The sequence below is a fragment of the Homo sapiens genome, chromosome X, assembly GCF_000001405.40.
Source record: "Homo sapiens chromosome X, GRCh38.p14 Primary Assembly".
Lineage (NCBI taxonomy): Eukaryota > Metazoa > Chordata > Mammalia > Primates > Hominidae > Homo > Homo sapiens.
Window position 1 is genome coordinate 10,659,651 of NC_000023.11, and position 17,192 is coordinate 10,676,842.

Here is a 17,192-nt window from a genome sequence, read left to right on the forward strand (position 1 = left end):
AACTTGTAGAAAGCGCTATTGCTTAAAAAAGGGGGGTGGGGGAGGATGGGTACTTTCTTAACGGGAAAATTGTGTCTTGCCAGAAAATGACCTTGAAATTAGAGGGAGGTATTGGAGTTTAATCACAGCTTTGATAACGTATGTGCTGTGTCTTTTGGACAATGCCATTGAGTGTGGGGTTCATGTCCTTATGATTGTCTAAAGTGTGTCACAGTACATGCACATGTTGTGATGGAAAGAAGCAAAATGTACAAACAATAAAAGGGCCATTTATTACAGACCTTCAAGGAAACCAACAATGACTTTGGGATGTATGTTGCATTCCTGAATTTTACATGATTTTCTGGATAGCATTAACAGTTTTCTGAGAATGTTCTTAAGAATTCCATTTCTATCACAGCCATGTATGTATTCCCACCCTCTGACCCCACAGTCGTGTCTCTCCCAACTTCTCCCCAAAGCTGGTTCTCACAGAGCAAAGGAAAGATGGGCTGTGCAAATAAAACCTAAACCCAATGGAATTTGAAACAAGTCCTAGTAGGATAAAGAAATCTCTGAACATATTCATAAGGAGTGTTTCTTTAGGGAACTTTTCTGTTTCAGGGACACCACTGAGGCTGTGCCACATTCTGAAACTGTTGCTATGGCAAAGCGTCTTGTGTTATTGACGATGGAGCACATTGTTGTGTTTAAGTCATGTAAATGATCAGGACACAAAGGAAGCTGCCCACAGCAGCCCCTGCTCAATCACCACAGCGCTGGGGCCTTTCCCCCTTGACACATGCCATTTACACGGCATGGGAAGGCATTTCTTTCAGAAAGCCTCACTCCCTGGGTGCTGTGAACTGTTCTTTGGAGACGTTTATGAGATCTCCACATCTTTCAGAATCGATTCTGCAGGGGAAAAAGAATACACAATGACAAAGCCCTTTCTTTTGTTTTAAGGTCAGGATATTTCTATAGACATTTTGCATTTTCTACCTATTAACACATTTTTTTTTCCGGGCTGCTGGTCTTGTCTAATATTTCAACTTTCTATCAGTTCTTGTCATTTAGAGTCCAACTATGAGAGTTTCTCCTTTGTTTCCCACTTATAGCTCAAATATGTGTTTTTAATTATTTTCCACAGCATCAATTCACACTGATTAGACATAATTACAGAAACAAAATATGCAGAATACATTTTAATAATGCCTGTCACCTCTGAGGGAACAATGAGGATCTAATTTAATGATCTAAGTGTTGTTTGAAAGCGACACAGAGTTTTTAAAAATAGTACTATATATTTTGAAGTGGAGCTTATTAGTATTTTTAGATACAAATGTAAGCTGAAATGAACTATTATTCAGGTTTCAATGCATGTAATTAAAAAAACACTTAGGGCAATGCTTGTTTACACAAAGAATCAAATTATACCCTTTAATAATAAAAGCTTGATCCAACTGTGACACTTGAGACTTGAAATGATGTGATAATTTGTAGTCCAATTTCTAAGGGAAATTTTGCCATATGAAAATCTATTTTTGACAATACTGTGTCAAAGTCAATGTCCTGGTTTTGACATTACTGTGGTTATGAAAGATGTTTTCATTGGGGGAAGCCGCATGAATGGTACGGGGGAACTCTCTGCATTAGTTTTGCAAACTCTTGTGTGTCTCCAACTATTTCTTTTTTTTTTTTGAGATGGAGTCTCGCTCTGCTGCCCAGGCTGGAGTGCAGTGGTGCGATCTCGGCTCACTGCAAACTCTACCTTCTGGGTTCACACCATTCTCCTGCCTCAGCCTCCCGAGTAGCTGGGACTACAGGCACCCACCACCACACCCAGCTGATTTTTTGTATATTTAGCAGAGACGGGGTTTCCACCGTGTTAGCCAGGATGGTCTCAATCTCCTGACCTCGTGATCCACCCACTTCGGCCTCCCAAAGTGCTGGGATTACAGGCATGAGCCACCGCACCCGGCATTGTGTCTCCAACTATTTCATAATAAAAAAAGTTATATCAAAAATCTATTTTTCATACCTAATAAAAATATATTTTTTCTACTTGTAGAAGAATATGCTGTCTCAGTAGAGCTTAGAATATTACTATTACAGAACCATATGACATTACTCTCAATATTTGTCTTGGCATCTGGAGTCAAAGGAATTTTAGACAATGAGTTAACTTTCTCAAAGAAAATCTCTTTACCCCGAATTTTCAACTTGTTCAGAAAAGAATTTGTAAACAGTTATGAATGAGAAATCTACTTACTTTTACTGTTTCAGACGCTCTTCTAGAAGTTATTAAAACAGTATTTACAATTCTCATAAATCTGGAGGCATAATTGGATCTCATTTCCTTTGCCTTTTTCGCTCTTTTTAAAAACTCTTTTGGCTCGGTGTGGTGGCTCACGCCTGTAATCCCAGCACTTTGGGAGGCCGAGGTGGGCAGATCACCTGAGGTCAGGAGTTTGAGACCAGCCTGACCAACAGGGAGAAACTCCATCTCTACTAAAAATACAAAATTAGCTGGGCATGGTGGCGCATGCCTGTAATCCTAGCTTCTCAGGAGGCTGAGGCAGGAGAATCTCTTGAACCGGGGAGGCGGAGGTTGTGGTGAGCCGAGATCACACCATTGCACTCCAGCCTGGGCAACAAGAGCCAAACACTGTCTCAAAACAAACAAACAAAGAAACAAACAGATACACACACAAAACAAGCAAACAAACAAAAACCCTCTTTTAACTCCATAGTTAAAACCATAGTTTTGCATTCCTAGCTGTCATGAGTGAAGCTGAGATTTAAAAAAGTAATATAGGACTATCACAAACCAAAGTTACATCTAACATAAATGTCCATTCATATTTCATTTGGCTGTGATTGTGTATTTGTGGCATGTATATCGGTGTGTAGGGAGGATGCGTGTGTACTCATACAATGTTAGGATCGGCAGGACCATAGGAATCTCCTAATTCAAGCTCAATATTAACATATTCAATATACATAGGTTCGATATTTATAATATATACTGCTGATTGTGCAATAATTCTTCACATTCCCATGGCCTTCTTTAAGAGGTCATCATAGCACACATCTAATTTTATCCTAACATAATTCTACGAGCTTGCTAGAGGGCATTATTATTATTCTACTGAGAAAATGGGCAGCTAATTCCAAAGAGGTCCAGCTTTGGCTCAGTCTTACACGGCATGTGAATGGTGAGGTTGAGGATTAAAACCCAGATTCCACATCCTTGCTCAGAGTACTTCATTCTGGCCCACAATCTCTAAAGCTACAACTGTCTAAATACACTGTCTACACTGTCTTGTATAATATCTGAAACAGTGCATGTTGGAGGGAGAGTTCTATTAAAATGATAATAGGAGTTAGTTAATTCTTTTTAAACTGTAACAATTAAAAGCATTTTGTGAGTGACCTAGGAACACGGCTCTGTATCATAACCCCTTTCTCTTTTCTTTTTTTTTAAAGTTTAGTTGAGATACAATTCACATACCACACAATGTACCCATCTAATGTGGACAATTTAATGTTTTAAAGTATATTCCCAGTGTCCTACAACCATCATCAACATCTAATTTTAGAACAGCTTTATCCCCCCAATAAAAGAAATGCTGTGCCCATTAGCAGTCACTCCCTTTCCCCCTACCCTTCACCCCTAGCCCCTTGCAACCACTAATTGACTTTCTATCTCTATGAATTTGCCTATTCTGGACATTTCACATAAATGGAATCCTACAATATGTGATCCTCTGTGACTGCCTTCTTTCTCTGAGCATGATGTAGCATGTATCAGCAGCTGAATAATACTTTTTAGAGCTGAATACTATCCGGTTGTACGGAAATGCATGGATATCCTGCATTTGTTTTTTTGTTTGTTTTTTGTTTGTTTGTTTGTATTTAGACAGTTGTAGCTTTAGAGATTGTGGGCCAGAATGAAGTACTCTGAGCAAGGATGTGGAATCTGGGTTTTAATCCTCAACCTCACCATTCACATGCCGTGTAAGACTGAGCCAAAGCTGGACCTCTTTGGAATTAGCTGCCCATTTTCTCAGTAGAATAATAATAATGCCCTCTAGCAAGCTCGTAGAATTATGTTAGGATAAAATTAGATGTGTGCTATGATGGCCTCTTAAAGAAGGCCATGGGAATGTGAAGAATTATTGCACAATCAGCAGTATATATTATAAATATCAAACCTATGTATATTGAATGTGTTAATATTGAGCTTGAATTAGGAGATTCCTATGGTCCTGTTGATGCTAACATTGTATGAGTATACACGCATCCTCCCTACACACCCATATACATGCCACAAATACACAATCACAGCCAAATGAAATATGAATGGACATTTATGTTAGATGTAACTTTGGTTTGTGATAGTCCTATATTACTTTTTTAAATCTCAGCTTCACTCATGACAGCTAGGAATGCAAAACTATGGTTTTAACTATGGAGTTAAAAGAGGGTTTTTGTTTGTTTGCTTGTTTTGTGTGTGTATCTGTTTGTTTCTTTGTTTGTTTGTTTTGAGACAGTGTTTGGCTCTTGTTGCCCAGGCTGGAGTGCAATGGTGTGATCTCGGCTCACCACAACCTCCACCTCCCGGGTTCAAGCGATTCTCCTGCCTCAGCCTCCTGAGAAGCTAGGATTACAGTCATGTACCACCATGTCCAGCTATTTTTATTTTTTTGTATTTTTAGTAGAGATGGTGGTTTCACCATGTTGGCCAGGGTGGACTCAAACTCCTGACCTCAAATGATCCACCTGCCTCGGCCTCCCAAAGTGCTAGGATTATAGGCATGAGCCACCACGCCCAGCAATATGCTACGTTTTATTTATCCATTCATCCACTGATAAACATTTGCGCTGTTTCCACTTTTTGGCTATTGTAAATAATGCTGCTATGAACATTCATATACATGTTGTTGTGTGAACATATGTTTTCATTTCTCTTGGATATATACCTAAAAGTACACTCGTTGGATCATATGGTAACCTTATGTTTAACTTTTTGAGGAACTGCCAAACCATTTCCAAAGTGACTGCACCATATTTCATTTCCACTAATAATCCTTTTCTTAACTTGAGCTGGTAAAGCCTCCGTGATGGCTCCTGGTAGTTACTAAACTAACCATCAAAGTCCTTTCTTGCACACACTTCTGGGTCTGGTCAGGTGAAAAGTGGGAGAGTGTATTTGCCTCACATGATTTCAGAAAAGCCATCAGAAATTAGAATGGGAAACAAGGAGATTAAGGATATGCATATTAATTAAACATCTAGAATGTAAGTTATTTATTGGTGAGGAAATTTAAAACTTTAAGTTGCATCAAATACACACACACAATTCAAGCGGCCATACAAAAATAAAAAACAAACCAAATCAACCAACCAGTCAAACAGAGATTCACAACATCATCCTTGGCATTTGATCTTCCATCTGTAGCCCCTGAAGTAGTGCAACAATATGAGATATTTGAACCGTTTTTGTAGCTCTTAATAGCAAGAGATATTTTTGGCTATGAAGACATCTAGGTCAAAGCCCTCACACTTGCTTCTTGCTCACAGATGTACAACTATTTCAAAAAAATCTCCAAAACCATATGAATAAACCTTTTATAATCTTAAGGATTCTTAAGCCTCTAGACAGAGATTGATACAGACCCTGACTTTTAAAGCAAGCTGGGACACCTTCTGGAATTCAAAACACATGCTTGGCCCCTGACAAGTCAAGCTAGAGTCTGGAGGTGAATTCGGCTGGTTCTTTTACACACGAACCTCGCAACACTCTGACTAGCTCTTTTTGTGTGGCCAGAAAGGTCTTGAGGCTTCGAGGCTGCAAACAGTTCCTGACCTGTCACTGCTAGACTCAAATAGCCACTTTTTTTTTTTTTTTTTGAGACAGATTCTTGCTTTGTCGCCCAGGCTGGAGTGTAGTGGTGCAATCCTAGCTCACTGCAGCCTTGATCTCCTGGGCTCAAGCAATCCTCCCACCTCAGTCTCCGGAGTAGATGGGACTGCAGGCACACGCCACCACACCCAGCTAATTTTCTTATTTTCTGTAGAGACGAGGTCTTGCCATATTGCTTGGGCTGGTCTCAAACTCCTGGGCTCAAGTGATCCACCCACCTCGGCCTCCCAAAGTGCCAGGATTATAGGCGTGAGCCACCCCGCCTGGCCAAGTAGCCATCTTCACTTCTTTGCCCTGATGTTTATTATATCCATCAGTCAGCACTTTTGACTTGCTTTTTTCTGTGACACACGTGACCTGATTTCAGCTAGGTCAGTACAAAGCCAAAAAGGAAAATTGTTTGGGATGTTTCTCTTATTCCATTGTCTCTTCCCTATGACCAGACACATTTTCTGGATGGGGAACAATCTCAAGCAGGGGATGGCTGGAAAGTGTTGAGTGAAAACGCAAGACACGATGAGAGAGAAAGAATAAGTAAAAATAAAAAAAGAGAGAGAAAAAAGAGTGAAATAGGGAAAGGCTATGTCATAAGACAAAGGTCAAAGTGGGAAAGAGTGGCAGAGAACAGGGAAAGCAGAGAGAAGAATCTTGAGATGAAGGTCTTAGCAAGTGATAATCTCCTGGGATCTTCTCAGTCGCTATTGATGTCTTTCCCCTAGGATTGTGCAATAATTTATTGGTAATGCTCAAATTGAATTTGCAAATGACTTCAAACCTTAGCAGGAGATACTGGTAGTTTATAGCTTTGCAAATTGAAATTGAAACTCAAAGTGCCCTTGATAAACTGCAAAAAAAAAAAAAAAAAGCAAATAGAAGAAATCCCCTCTAGATTATGCAATAGCACACCAAATGAGTTTTTTGAAAAATGGAAGAGGAATAAGTGAAACTAGCCAGCTAACTAACAGCAGGCACTGATTCTAGAAGTAAATTGGATATGGAGGTATACTCAAGTGTTGGTATTTATCCTGAGGAAATCTGGCCATTCAAATGATTTCAAAGATACTCGGCCTAGTTCTGAGCACAATTAAAGGGGGTGTGGGGAACTTGGAAAGAGTTCAGAGGAAAACCACAAAGATCAAAGAGGTGAAGAAAAGGGAGCTCAGAGGAAAGTCGAGGAGCTGGAAAAATCCAACCTGAAGAAGAGAAGGTAAAGGAGATAATTTAATTACGGTCCTCAGCTATAAGACGAGCTTTTCATAGGTGGCCACCTGTTCTCTGTTTCCACTATGGATGGATAGAAAGGCAGGGGCTTAAATATGCAATATGGGGGATTTCATTTAGGTATAAGGAATTTCCTGACATGAAAGCTGGTAAATGATGAAATGGGCTCCTGATCATGGACAGGAATAAGGAATATTCTTCTTACAAAATAGGTAAAATTCTCACAGGTTTGGAATGGTTTACAGATCTTGCTACCTAGAGTTGGGGGTGGGACAGGGAAGTGGGTATACTCTAACATTCTAGAAGAACAGATTCTGGTACCTTGATTTTGCTTCAGACTTGTGTATGCACCCCTCGCCTGGCCCAATGCCTCACATTTCCCTGGCTTTACACAAAATGTCCTCCCTGGCACACCACTTTGAGATGTAATCATCTCCTCTGTGAAAAAGAGCACTGGAAAATATGTTTGGAAGAGCTGGAATTTGTTGAAGGAAAATAGTCAGCTAAACAAGACCTACATGAGTGGGGGTGGGGTAAAGGCACCTCGGAGTGCATGCTGGGATTAGGGCTAATTAAGATGTTGACTGAATCTATGCTAATCATGTCCCACCAGACTCTGCTGGATTAGTATGTAAATTGGTAAACTCTGTTCTGAAATTGCCCTACCAGCTGAGGTCTAATTACTGACTAGACATAACAAATAATAATGGGATTTGTATTTTAGGATGTTTAATTATGGAAATATATGTCTGGAAGAAATACCAGCTGTATTGCACAAAAAGAGAATTCATAATGTTTTACTAAAGTTTTATGAAATTTTACACCTTTAATAAGAGCACCAGGAACAGGGGTGTGTGGGGGGAGTCTTTTCGGAGACCTAGCATTTGTGAAGGGGGACCAGAATCGCAATGATTAATTCGCTGCTTGAGTAATTTCCCCAAAGCTCAAAGACTGATTGTTTCAGTGCCGATACACAGCATCTTGTGAGCTTTTAGTTGTATCACCCAAAGAACTGGAACTCATCCGTGAAGAATAACCAAGATGCCATGGATTTAACTCAACTACTCCATAGCATGCATTCAAATGGAATTAAAAGCAATAGGGCAATAATCGTTGCAGGAAAGTAAGCCCCTAAAACAATTTTTCTTCACTGAAGTTACTCCATAATATTGAAATCATTAAATTTATAAATCAGAAAATGGTTAGTCCAGTCCTGAAGCAAAGGCATGTATTGCATGGTTTTAGAGAAAAGCAGCTTGAGCTCTAGAATTCACTGAATACGCATCTTGGGACAGAAACTTCTTTGCAACCATTTATTACATCATTCTGTGACCCACCCTTTCCAAAAAGTAACATACAAAGAGTTATAAACAGAGTTTTGGTAGAGCTGTAATAGCTGCCTGTATTTGCTTGCCATAGTGCTATTACTCACATAATTTTAAAGGCTTATGGGTGATCATTAAATCTTTATTAGGTTTTACATTATAAAATAAATTATTCATGTCGTTCTAATACATACTGGTATCTTTACAGCCCTTTTGCCCACATTTGGATAAACAAATCCTATTTGCATATCATTTTTATTTTAATTTAAGGCAATTTTGTTGTGAAAATATAAGGCTTAAATGCCTATTATGTTCCAATTATGTTCCAATTTCCCACACTTTTCTTGGTTCTATACAGTACTTTACAAATAAGGTAAAGTTCACATAATTTAAAAAGACGGATGATTTCCTTTTACTTAGAAGTTTTAGAATGTTTGCTCTTGCTGTTATATGGCAAGGCAATAGATATTATCAAATAAAATTTAGTGAGCAAGCTTGTGTTTGCAGTAGCTTCACGCCTCTGTACATTTGAAGTTACACATGTATATGGAAATTAAATTTGTTGATCACTTTAACAAATTTGTGAATTAGCAAAAATAAAGCACTAATTTTTCCTTGTGGTACAGAACTATAGGGAAGAATAATACAGTATTACTTTGATGTAAGGATATCTAACCTTTGTATTGGTAAGTCATTGAATAAAATAATTTTTCATTAAGGGCTTATGCTATTAGTCTTTGCAGATCTTATCAGCACATTGATAACTGTATTTATTTAGGTTTCAATAGTAGATTTTAGTTTCTTGTTTCGTTAGTCTTAGAAATCTAGGACACGGCCGGGCGCGGTGGCTCACGCCTATAATCCCAGCACTTTGGGAGGCCGAGGCGGGTGGATCATGAGGTCAGGAGATCGAGACCATCCTGGCTAACAAGGTGAAACCCCGTCTCTACTAAAAATACAAAAAATTAGCCGGGCGCGGTGGCGGGCGCCTGTAGTCCCAGCTACTCGGGAGGCTGAGGCAGGAGAATGGCGTGAACCCGGGAAGCGGAGCTTGCAGTGAGCCGAGATTGCACCACTGCAGTCCGCAGTCCGGCCTGGGCGACAGAGTGAGACTCCGTCTCAAAATAAAAAAAAAAAAAAAAAAAAAAAAAAGAAATCTAGGACACGTTTGATTCCCTGATGGTGGATGAATAAATCTGAACAAACTTTCCCTTTCAACATCATAGTCAGTTCTCACCTTCAAGCATTGCCATTAAGCTTGCATGATGTCATCCTGTAGGCAATGTATCACTAAAAACATTATTTTAAATGCTATTTTCCCATGCCCCAAGGCACCTGTCAGTAATTATATGTTATTTTCTATTAAAACTAATTGTGACCCACTCTCAGCATTGAACCCAGGGTCAGATACTCTGGTATAATAATTCTAGCTTTGTCCTCTTCTTGTCATGAGTATTGGGTGAAGTCAGAGTGCTGTGAGAACATTTAGAAGGTTCACAGAAAGTGTTTCACCAACACATAGGTAAGCAGTGTGTAAGCCTGAACAGATGTCACCTTGAATGGAAATCTTTCAGGGATTGGGTAGACAGCTATGGTATAAATCTCATATTTTTTGCAAATCTCACTTTGAAGCAAATTCTACAATTCCAGAGAGTAATCTTTTCAACAAATAGACTTTGAAATCCCCTCTCTATCTTTAAGGCAAGCTGTAGATTATCTTGATAAATAGCAATATTGATTTTAGCATAGAGATAATTGCCCCAAGATATACCTACCATTGGTCATGGGGATATAACCAAACTCTCCTAGTTTGCTGTTCCAAATGAAGAAATATGGAGTCCTTCCTCAGTGGCTTTGAATATCTGTCTTAGCTAAGTAGGTTAAAGGACATGGGAGCAAGTCTTCTGGGCTGAGACAGAAGACAGGAGTTCAAGTCTAGCTGGGCCATTCTCTGAGATTCTCCTTCTTCCACTGTAAAGAGGGTCTTTCCGAACAAGAATTGCAAGGAACAAATGGAATAAAATGTGTCCCTTTCACATAGTAGATACCAAATAATTGTTTGTTAAATACATGTCTAGTAGAAAAGGTTAAATGTGAATCTTTCTGTTACACAAATTAAAAAGCAAACTTAAATGGCAAGGTCTCATATCTTCCTGGTGATCTGGCTATAAAAGAATAAAAACCACATTCCTTTCAGTAATATCTCTTGGTAAGAAATTTATTACCTAATGATTACCACAGTGCTTTTTAAAGCCCATAAGTAAATAGTCTATAATTCCATATTATAGCTTCTACAAAGATACAGAATATTAAAGAAAATAAAAGAGAATGTAAAAAAAAATAAGTTTACATCTATCTTTCTTGGCATGATTTTCTTTTAAAGACCCACCTATATTGAGTGATACTGAAATCTTCACACGCCCAGGGCAGCTCCACCCAACAACTAGTCAATGATAATGATAATGAAGAACAACTACGTCAAGGTATCAAGATCTTACAAAATGTAAGCATCATTTTAGGATTCCTAAGGCATTTAAAAATTTTATTCAAAGGGAGCTCTGTCCCAACATTCTTTAAACACACACATAGCAGAGTGAGAGACCTTGGGATTCAAATTTCACCCTGCCATTATTTTATAGTGTTGTTGGAAATGGGAGAATGCAAGTGCATAACACATTAAGTCATTCAATGAATGTACACAATGGCTCTGCATCCCATCATCTTGACCTTCTTATTGCCTTGTTCTTTCCCACTCTCTTTTAGAAAAGAACTATGCTCTCACTTCATATTTATCCAGAGGGCCTTGGAACCATTTAATTTTTGGTCATCTATTTTTTATGATTGCAATATGGTTTTCTCAGTGTGGTTATAAATTCTTAGACAGCAGGGAAATAAGAACTTTCTCCAATTTTGCCCTGATGTCCAGGCTTCCAGGCTAATGCTCCATATAAATGTTTTATTTTGTCATGGATCACACCCTACTGATAGCCAGGCTTCTACAGGAATGTGCCTCAGAAAAATTCACAGTTCATCTTGATAGCAGTAATTGCTAACCCTGTGGTTTGCTCCCGCCCCCATTAAATGTACAGGTAGCTCTCATACTAAATATCTCACAAAATTATAATTGTTTGTTAAGCAAGGCAGTAGAGTGTAAGAATTAAAACCATGGATTCTGGAACCAGACTACTTGACTTCAACTGCCTTCTCTCTCCTTACAAATTGCATGATGTTGGGCAAATCACGTAAGGTCTCCTTGCTTCAGTTTCTTCATCAGAAAACTGAGATGATAATGTTACTAGTGTCTACCAAAGAGGGTTGATATGAAAATTAAATGTAGTGTGCTTGGAAGAAGCTAAAGTACTCAGTGAATATGAGTTATTCCTATTATTATTACTGGTGTCTTCACAGATGGGCTTTTAGCTTCTTAGGAGAAAAGGTGTTTCTGGCCGGTGTTCTATCCCCAGGTCCTAGTGCAGCATACACACATCTTCTCAGAGTCCCCCATCCTCTCTACCTCCCCATCATCTACCTGAGATATCCAAGTCACAAACCTCTTCCTCTCAGCTGTCCTGCCAATGCACTGTCCTTAGTATTTCTCAAACTTCTTGTCCTTTTCTCTACAGATTCTCTCAGAAGTCATGTTCTCGACCTCTCTCTCCTGCATTCCAACAGGCAGCCTAGTTGGGCCTCCATCTCCATAGGGCTCTCTCAGTGAGCTTTCTAACATGGAAACCTGATCATTTTCATTTCACCTCTCCACTTGAAATATTTCCATGGCTCCCTACTGCCTACAAGATCATGGAATAAATACATATCAAGTTAATATAAAGAAATTTGTGTCTGGGCATGGTGGCTCACACCTATAACCCTAGCACTTTGGGAGGCTGTGGCAGGTGGACCGCTTGAGCCCAGGAGTTCCAGACCAGCCTAGGCAACATGGTGAAACCCCATGTCTGCAAAAAATACAAAAATTAGCTGAGCGTGGTGGTGCATGCCTATAGTCCCAGCTACTCAGGAGGCTGAGGTGGGAGGATCACTTGACCACAGGAAGTTGAGGCTGCAGTGAGCCATGTTTGCACCACTGCACTCCAATCTGGGTGACAGAGCGAGATCCTGTCTCAAAAAAAAAAAAAATTGAAAGAAGATGTGGTAGTCAGAACAATGCTCCCCACCAAAGTTGTCCACGTTCTAATCTCCCAAACTTTTGTATGTGTTATGTTACATGGCAAAAGGGACCTTGCAGATGTGGCTAAGGATGTTTAACCACATCCTTCGACATCCTTCAATATGGTTAGATCTAAGGATGCAAGATGGGAAGATTTCCATGGGGTCACCTGGTGGCCCCAGTGTAATTGCACAGGTCCTTATAGTGGAAAGAGGGAGGCAGAAGAGTCAGAGAAGGCAATGTGACGAATGAAGCAGAGTCAGAAACATGCAGCGCCATGAGCCAAGGAGTGCCAGAAGCCTCTTGAAGTTGGAAAAGCAGGGAACAGATTCTTGTCTAGAGCCTTCAGAAGGAATGCAGGCCTGCTGATACCTTGATTTTAGATCCATTTTGTGCTTCAGACCTCCAGGAATGTAATAAAATAAATTTGTGTTGTTTAATTTTTTTTTGAGATGGGCAGGCTGGAGTGCAGTGGCATGATTATAGCTCATTGCAGCCTCAAACTCCTGGCCTCAAAGGATCCTCCCTCCTTAGCCTCCCAAGTAGTTGGGACCACAGGCATGTGCTACCACACCCAGTTAACTTTTTATTTTTTTTGCAGAGGAGGGGTTTCTCTATGCTTCCCAAGCTGGTCTTGAACTCCTAGGCTCAAGTGATCTTCCTGCCTCAGCCTCCCAATGTGCTGGGATTACAAGTATGAGCCACTGCGCCTGGCCGTGTTGTTTAAATTTTTAATAATTTGTGGTAATTTATTACAGCAGCCATCGGAAACTAGTACACAAGGCAATTGGATAGATAGTGCTGACTAAATAATTGTGTTGCGGTAAATGAATGACTATACTATGAGAGTACCAGACTAATGCACTGATATATTTAGAATTCTTTTTATTAATGATGTGTTATGATTTTCTTTCCCTCAACCAGTAACTTCAGATGGGGGTAAGGGATGCATTTTTCTACAACTCCATCCTGTCTTCTGCTCACCTGCTGGGGGCAGAAAGTGAGGCTGTGTCGGTATAGAAACCTAGATCTTTATACAAGCAGATCTCTATACAAACAAATATGTCACAGCGTACATGCAGACCGGGGCTCCCTACTGGATAGCTGGTGGAAACCAGGGCAGGCATGGCCAGAAACCAAACTAAACCAAGTCTGTAATTTCTCTTAACTGAGCAAATCTAAAATACTGTATTCTGTATTTTAACCTAATATGATGTTTCTACCTTGATGTTTCAAAAGCCATTTTTACACGTAAATACATATGGTGCCTGTCCAATCCATAGTTACATGTGTTGGCTCTCTGATCATAAAGGAAGATAGGGAACAGGCAGAAGCTGTCAAGGGAGATTCTCTGGAAGCATTAAGGTAAGCTATAGTGAGTTCTCAATTGATACGAGATCTGGGAAGAAAGACATGGCTGGTAAGAGAGCAATATAGAAGTGTGCTAAAAAGTGCTTTTGTGGAGCAGGGAACAGATTTGGGTTTGCTACCTTAGTAGTGTGGCATGAATTTATTCTTAAATTCTCTGGTCCTTCATTCCATCATCTTTAAAATGGGCCCAATAATACCTATTTTGCAGTATTGTTGAGAAGAGTAAATGATAACATGCTTGTAAAGGGGCCAGGGCAGTGTCTGGTATATGGTGGATTCAAGACATGTTCATTTCTTTCCCATGATTCTTTTTTCTTACTGACATTATTGCAAATTATGTGTATTATTATGATATATCAAAACATTTAACAAAAGTCATCTAACAGAAAAAACTAATACATCAAGAAAAAAATGAGAAGGAACAGTAATTTATAAGCTCTAAAGATTAAGGATGCTGGAATGTTTTGTTCTGTATTTTCCCAATTTGTGCAATGGCAAGGTTAATTCACGAGAAACCTTTCTTTTGAATTATTTAAATGGCCAGTGATGAGAATAACACACAGTGGGTCTTGTGCAATGTGAGAGGGTTATTGATTAACTCAGCTCACAGGTTCCAAGTAGCCAGTAACATATTTTAATGTATCAATAATTCAGAAGAATTAAGAGTTTTTCGTTGTTGCTGAAACCACATTCGCAACTGAACCACGGGAGCTGGCAAACAATTGTTAGAACAGCACGAGTTGGTCTTTCCCTTCTAGCCTTGGTCGCCTCTGCAATAAACTCCACAAAACATAGCTTTCATCTCTAACAGCAAACGTGTGCCATATGAGTGACACCCAAGCACTCAATAAATATATGCCAGATTAATGATAACCTCATAAGGCAGTAGTGAAAAATGGCCAAAGTATTTCAGAAGATCAACCTGGAAAGAAAATCAATTCTAATAAACTTGACGCTCTCAGGTTCAAATATAATAATGAAGGTAAATAGTCTTTATAACCAGAATGAGCATGGGGTGGAGAATAGTGAATAATGTTGATCAAAACCTGAAAACTTCACAGTTCACAGATAAATTGATTAACTGTTATCTCACACTCAGGACTCCCAAATTGACTGCCAGCATTCCGTAAACAATTCCTAAAGGCAAAGATAACATCGTTTGGTTGAATTAGCATTTTCAGTTGAGAAAAGAATAAAAAACTGAAATTGAAAGGGAATTGACTTTCATTTTTTGGCAAAGGATATCTCAGGCAAATAATTATTTCATTTTAAAAGAAAAAGCATATATTTTTTCAGGTTTTCATATCAATGTGCATGCAAAGAAACTGTATTTAAATAGTTTATAACCTGTAGTTGAAACCTATATTTTATAACCTATAGTTTAAATAACCTGGTTGTTATTAATGAAATAAATGGCATGCATTTTCAATTTTTGAATATTCTAATAAGCACATCATCTTAAGACTGTAGAATTAAGTAAACTGAAGTAACAGTTGCAGACTTGAATAATTTGTGTTGAATCATTTTACTTGATCAGTGTTTTCATGATGGGCAGATTCAACTGAAATGATAATAAGTGTATTGGCATATGTTAAGTTTAGAAACAAAACATCCATCATCAGAACTTTGCATTTAGCAATGCTTCTAGTTTTATTTTAATGAGGAGGAAAAAATGCAGAGAGCCCCCTAAATTAGGCAGCACTCAAATTTTCTCAGGGCAAAAACAACAACAAAGATTACCACCCTGTCTTGGGGATGGGGGAGGGTGCGCAGAGTTTTTAGGAATTTGGTTCTCAGCTATGAGGAAAGGCTTCTGGACTTGTCCATCACAGAAACAACAGCTGTCTGCCACTTCTCTCTTCTTCACACAGCCCCCAACTCCAAACACGCCTCTCAGAAGGACTTTTGTAGCTTGCTTAAGGGATAATTTGCTTCAGACTGAATCAATATATTTCTAAACTCTTCAGGCTCAAGTTTGCCAGGATATGATAAAAGGATATATTTATATGTGTGTGTATACATATACATTTTAAATATATAAGTAATATAAATAATGTATTCTATATATATCTTCACACAAATATGAAAGTCAGCTCTAGAAATAACAGAATGGAATTAGGGAGTAAGAAGCAACATTTGCCCAAGAAGGCTGTGTGCATGAGCTGATTCTTTGAAAATGTTGAAGGAAACGTGTACCTATTCTTTCTGACTCTAGGGCAGCTTCCTCATTTCTTCTTTCCAATTAGAACTCCTCTGCATACAGACAAAGAATATAAAGTTCTTCAAGTTCCATTTTCCTCACTTGAGTGTGAACACTCTCCCCTCCTTTCACAGTGTCTTGAACTTGCGCTAGGTACTACTTGGATTTTTAACAGTGGCTTGGATCTGAACGGCTCTTGTTACAAAACAGGTGATACATACAATGGCAAAAATACATTCTCACAGGAAACAGACAATTGAAAAATTTCCAGAAGGACCGGGTTTTTCTCTCACTCTCCTGAAGTTGTACCCCCCAAACTAATCAAATTGAGATAGAAATGCTTTAAAGATCCGAGTATCTGATAGATAAGTGCATTCCTCTATGGGGTATAGTTTTTGCGTGGGCATGCGTTTTGCTTAAGTCAGTTGCTCAGAAGTGATGCTAATCAAGTTTGGGAAAAGTAAAATTGTTCTGTGGCTACCAGCCCTTTGTACCAGAAACAGCGCCGTCCTCATACACCAGACAGAGACGATGCAGGACGTCCGCAGAGTCACTAACCAACTTCCCTCCCTTCTGACCCCTGCGCTTCAGTAAAGCAATTACAGTAGCATCCCAGAGCAGTAGAGAATAAAATGAGCCTTACCAGTTTCTCCTAGTGTGGACGAAAGGAAACAACCCCTCAGCTGCTCTAGGCCAGGCAACTGGGTCTCAGACTTACTTGACTGAGGGGACTCTGAAAGCTGAAGTCTTCCTTCCCTCTGTTTGATTTCTTCCCAGCAACCTCTCCCAGGATTTTTCTCACAAAGCACTCTCCTATTCTCTAATCCTCTCACAAGGAAAACCAGCACACACACCAAATGACTTCTGCAGAAGCGCCTCTCCTGGGGAGCTAGGAGGGGAGGGGTGGAAGGGGGGTGTTTGCTGGCATTCATTCCTGCCAGGCGAATCCTCAGGGAGTCATGGATCCCAGCCCTCTGGACTCCTCATCGACTGGAATACGAT

The 17,192-nt window shown here is 39.4% G+C and overlaps 1 protein-coding gene across 2 annotated transcripts in view; it reads right to left on the reverse strand.

The window, feature by feature from the left end:
* The window catches only part of MID1 (midline 1), a 388,374-nt gene that overhangs the window by 214,341 nt on the left and 156,841 nt on the right, over positions 1-17,192 (reverse strand). The gene's annotated exons all lie outside the window — the stretch shown is intronic.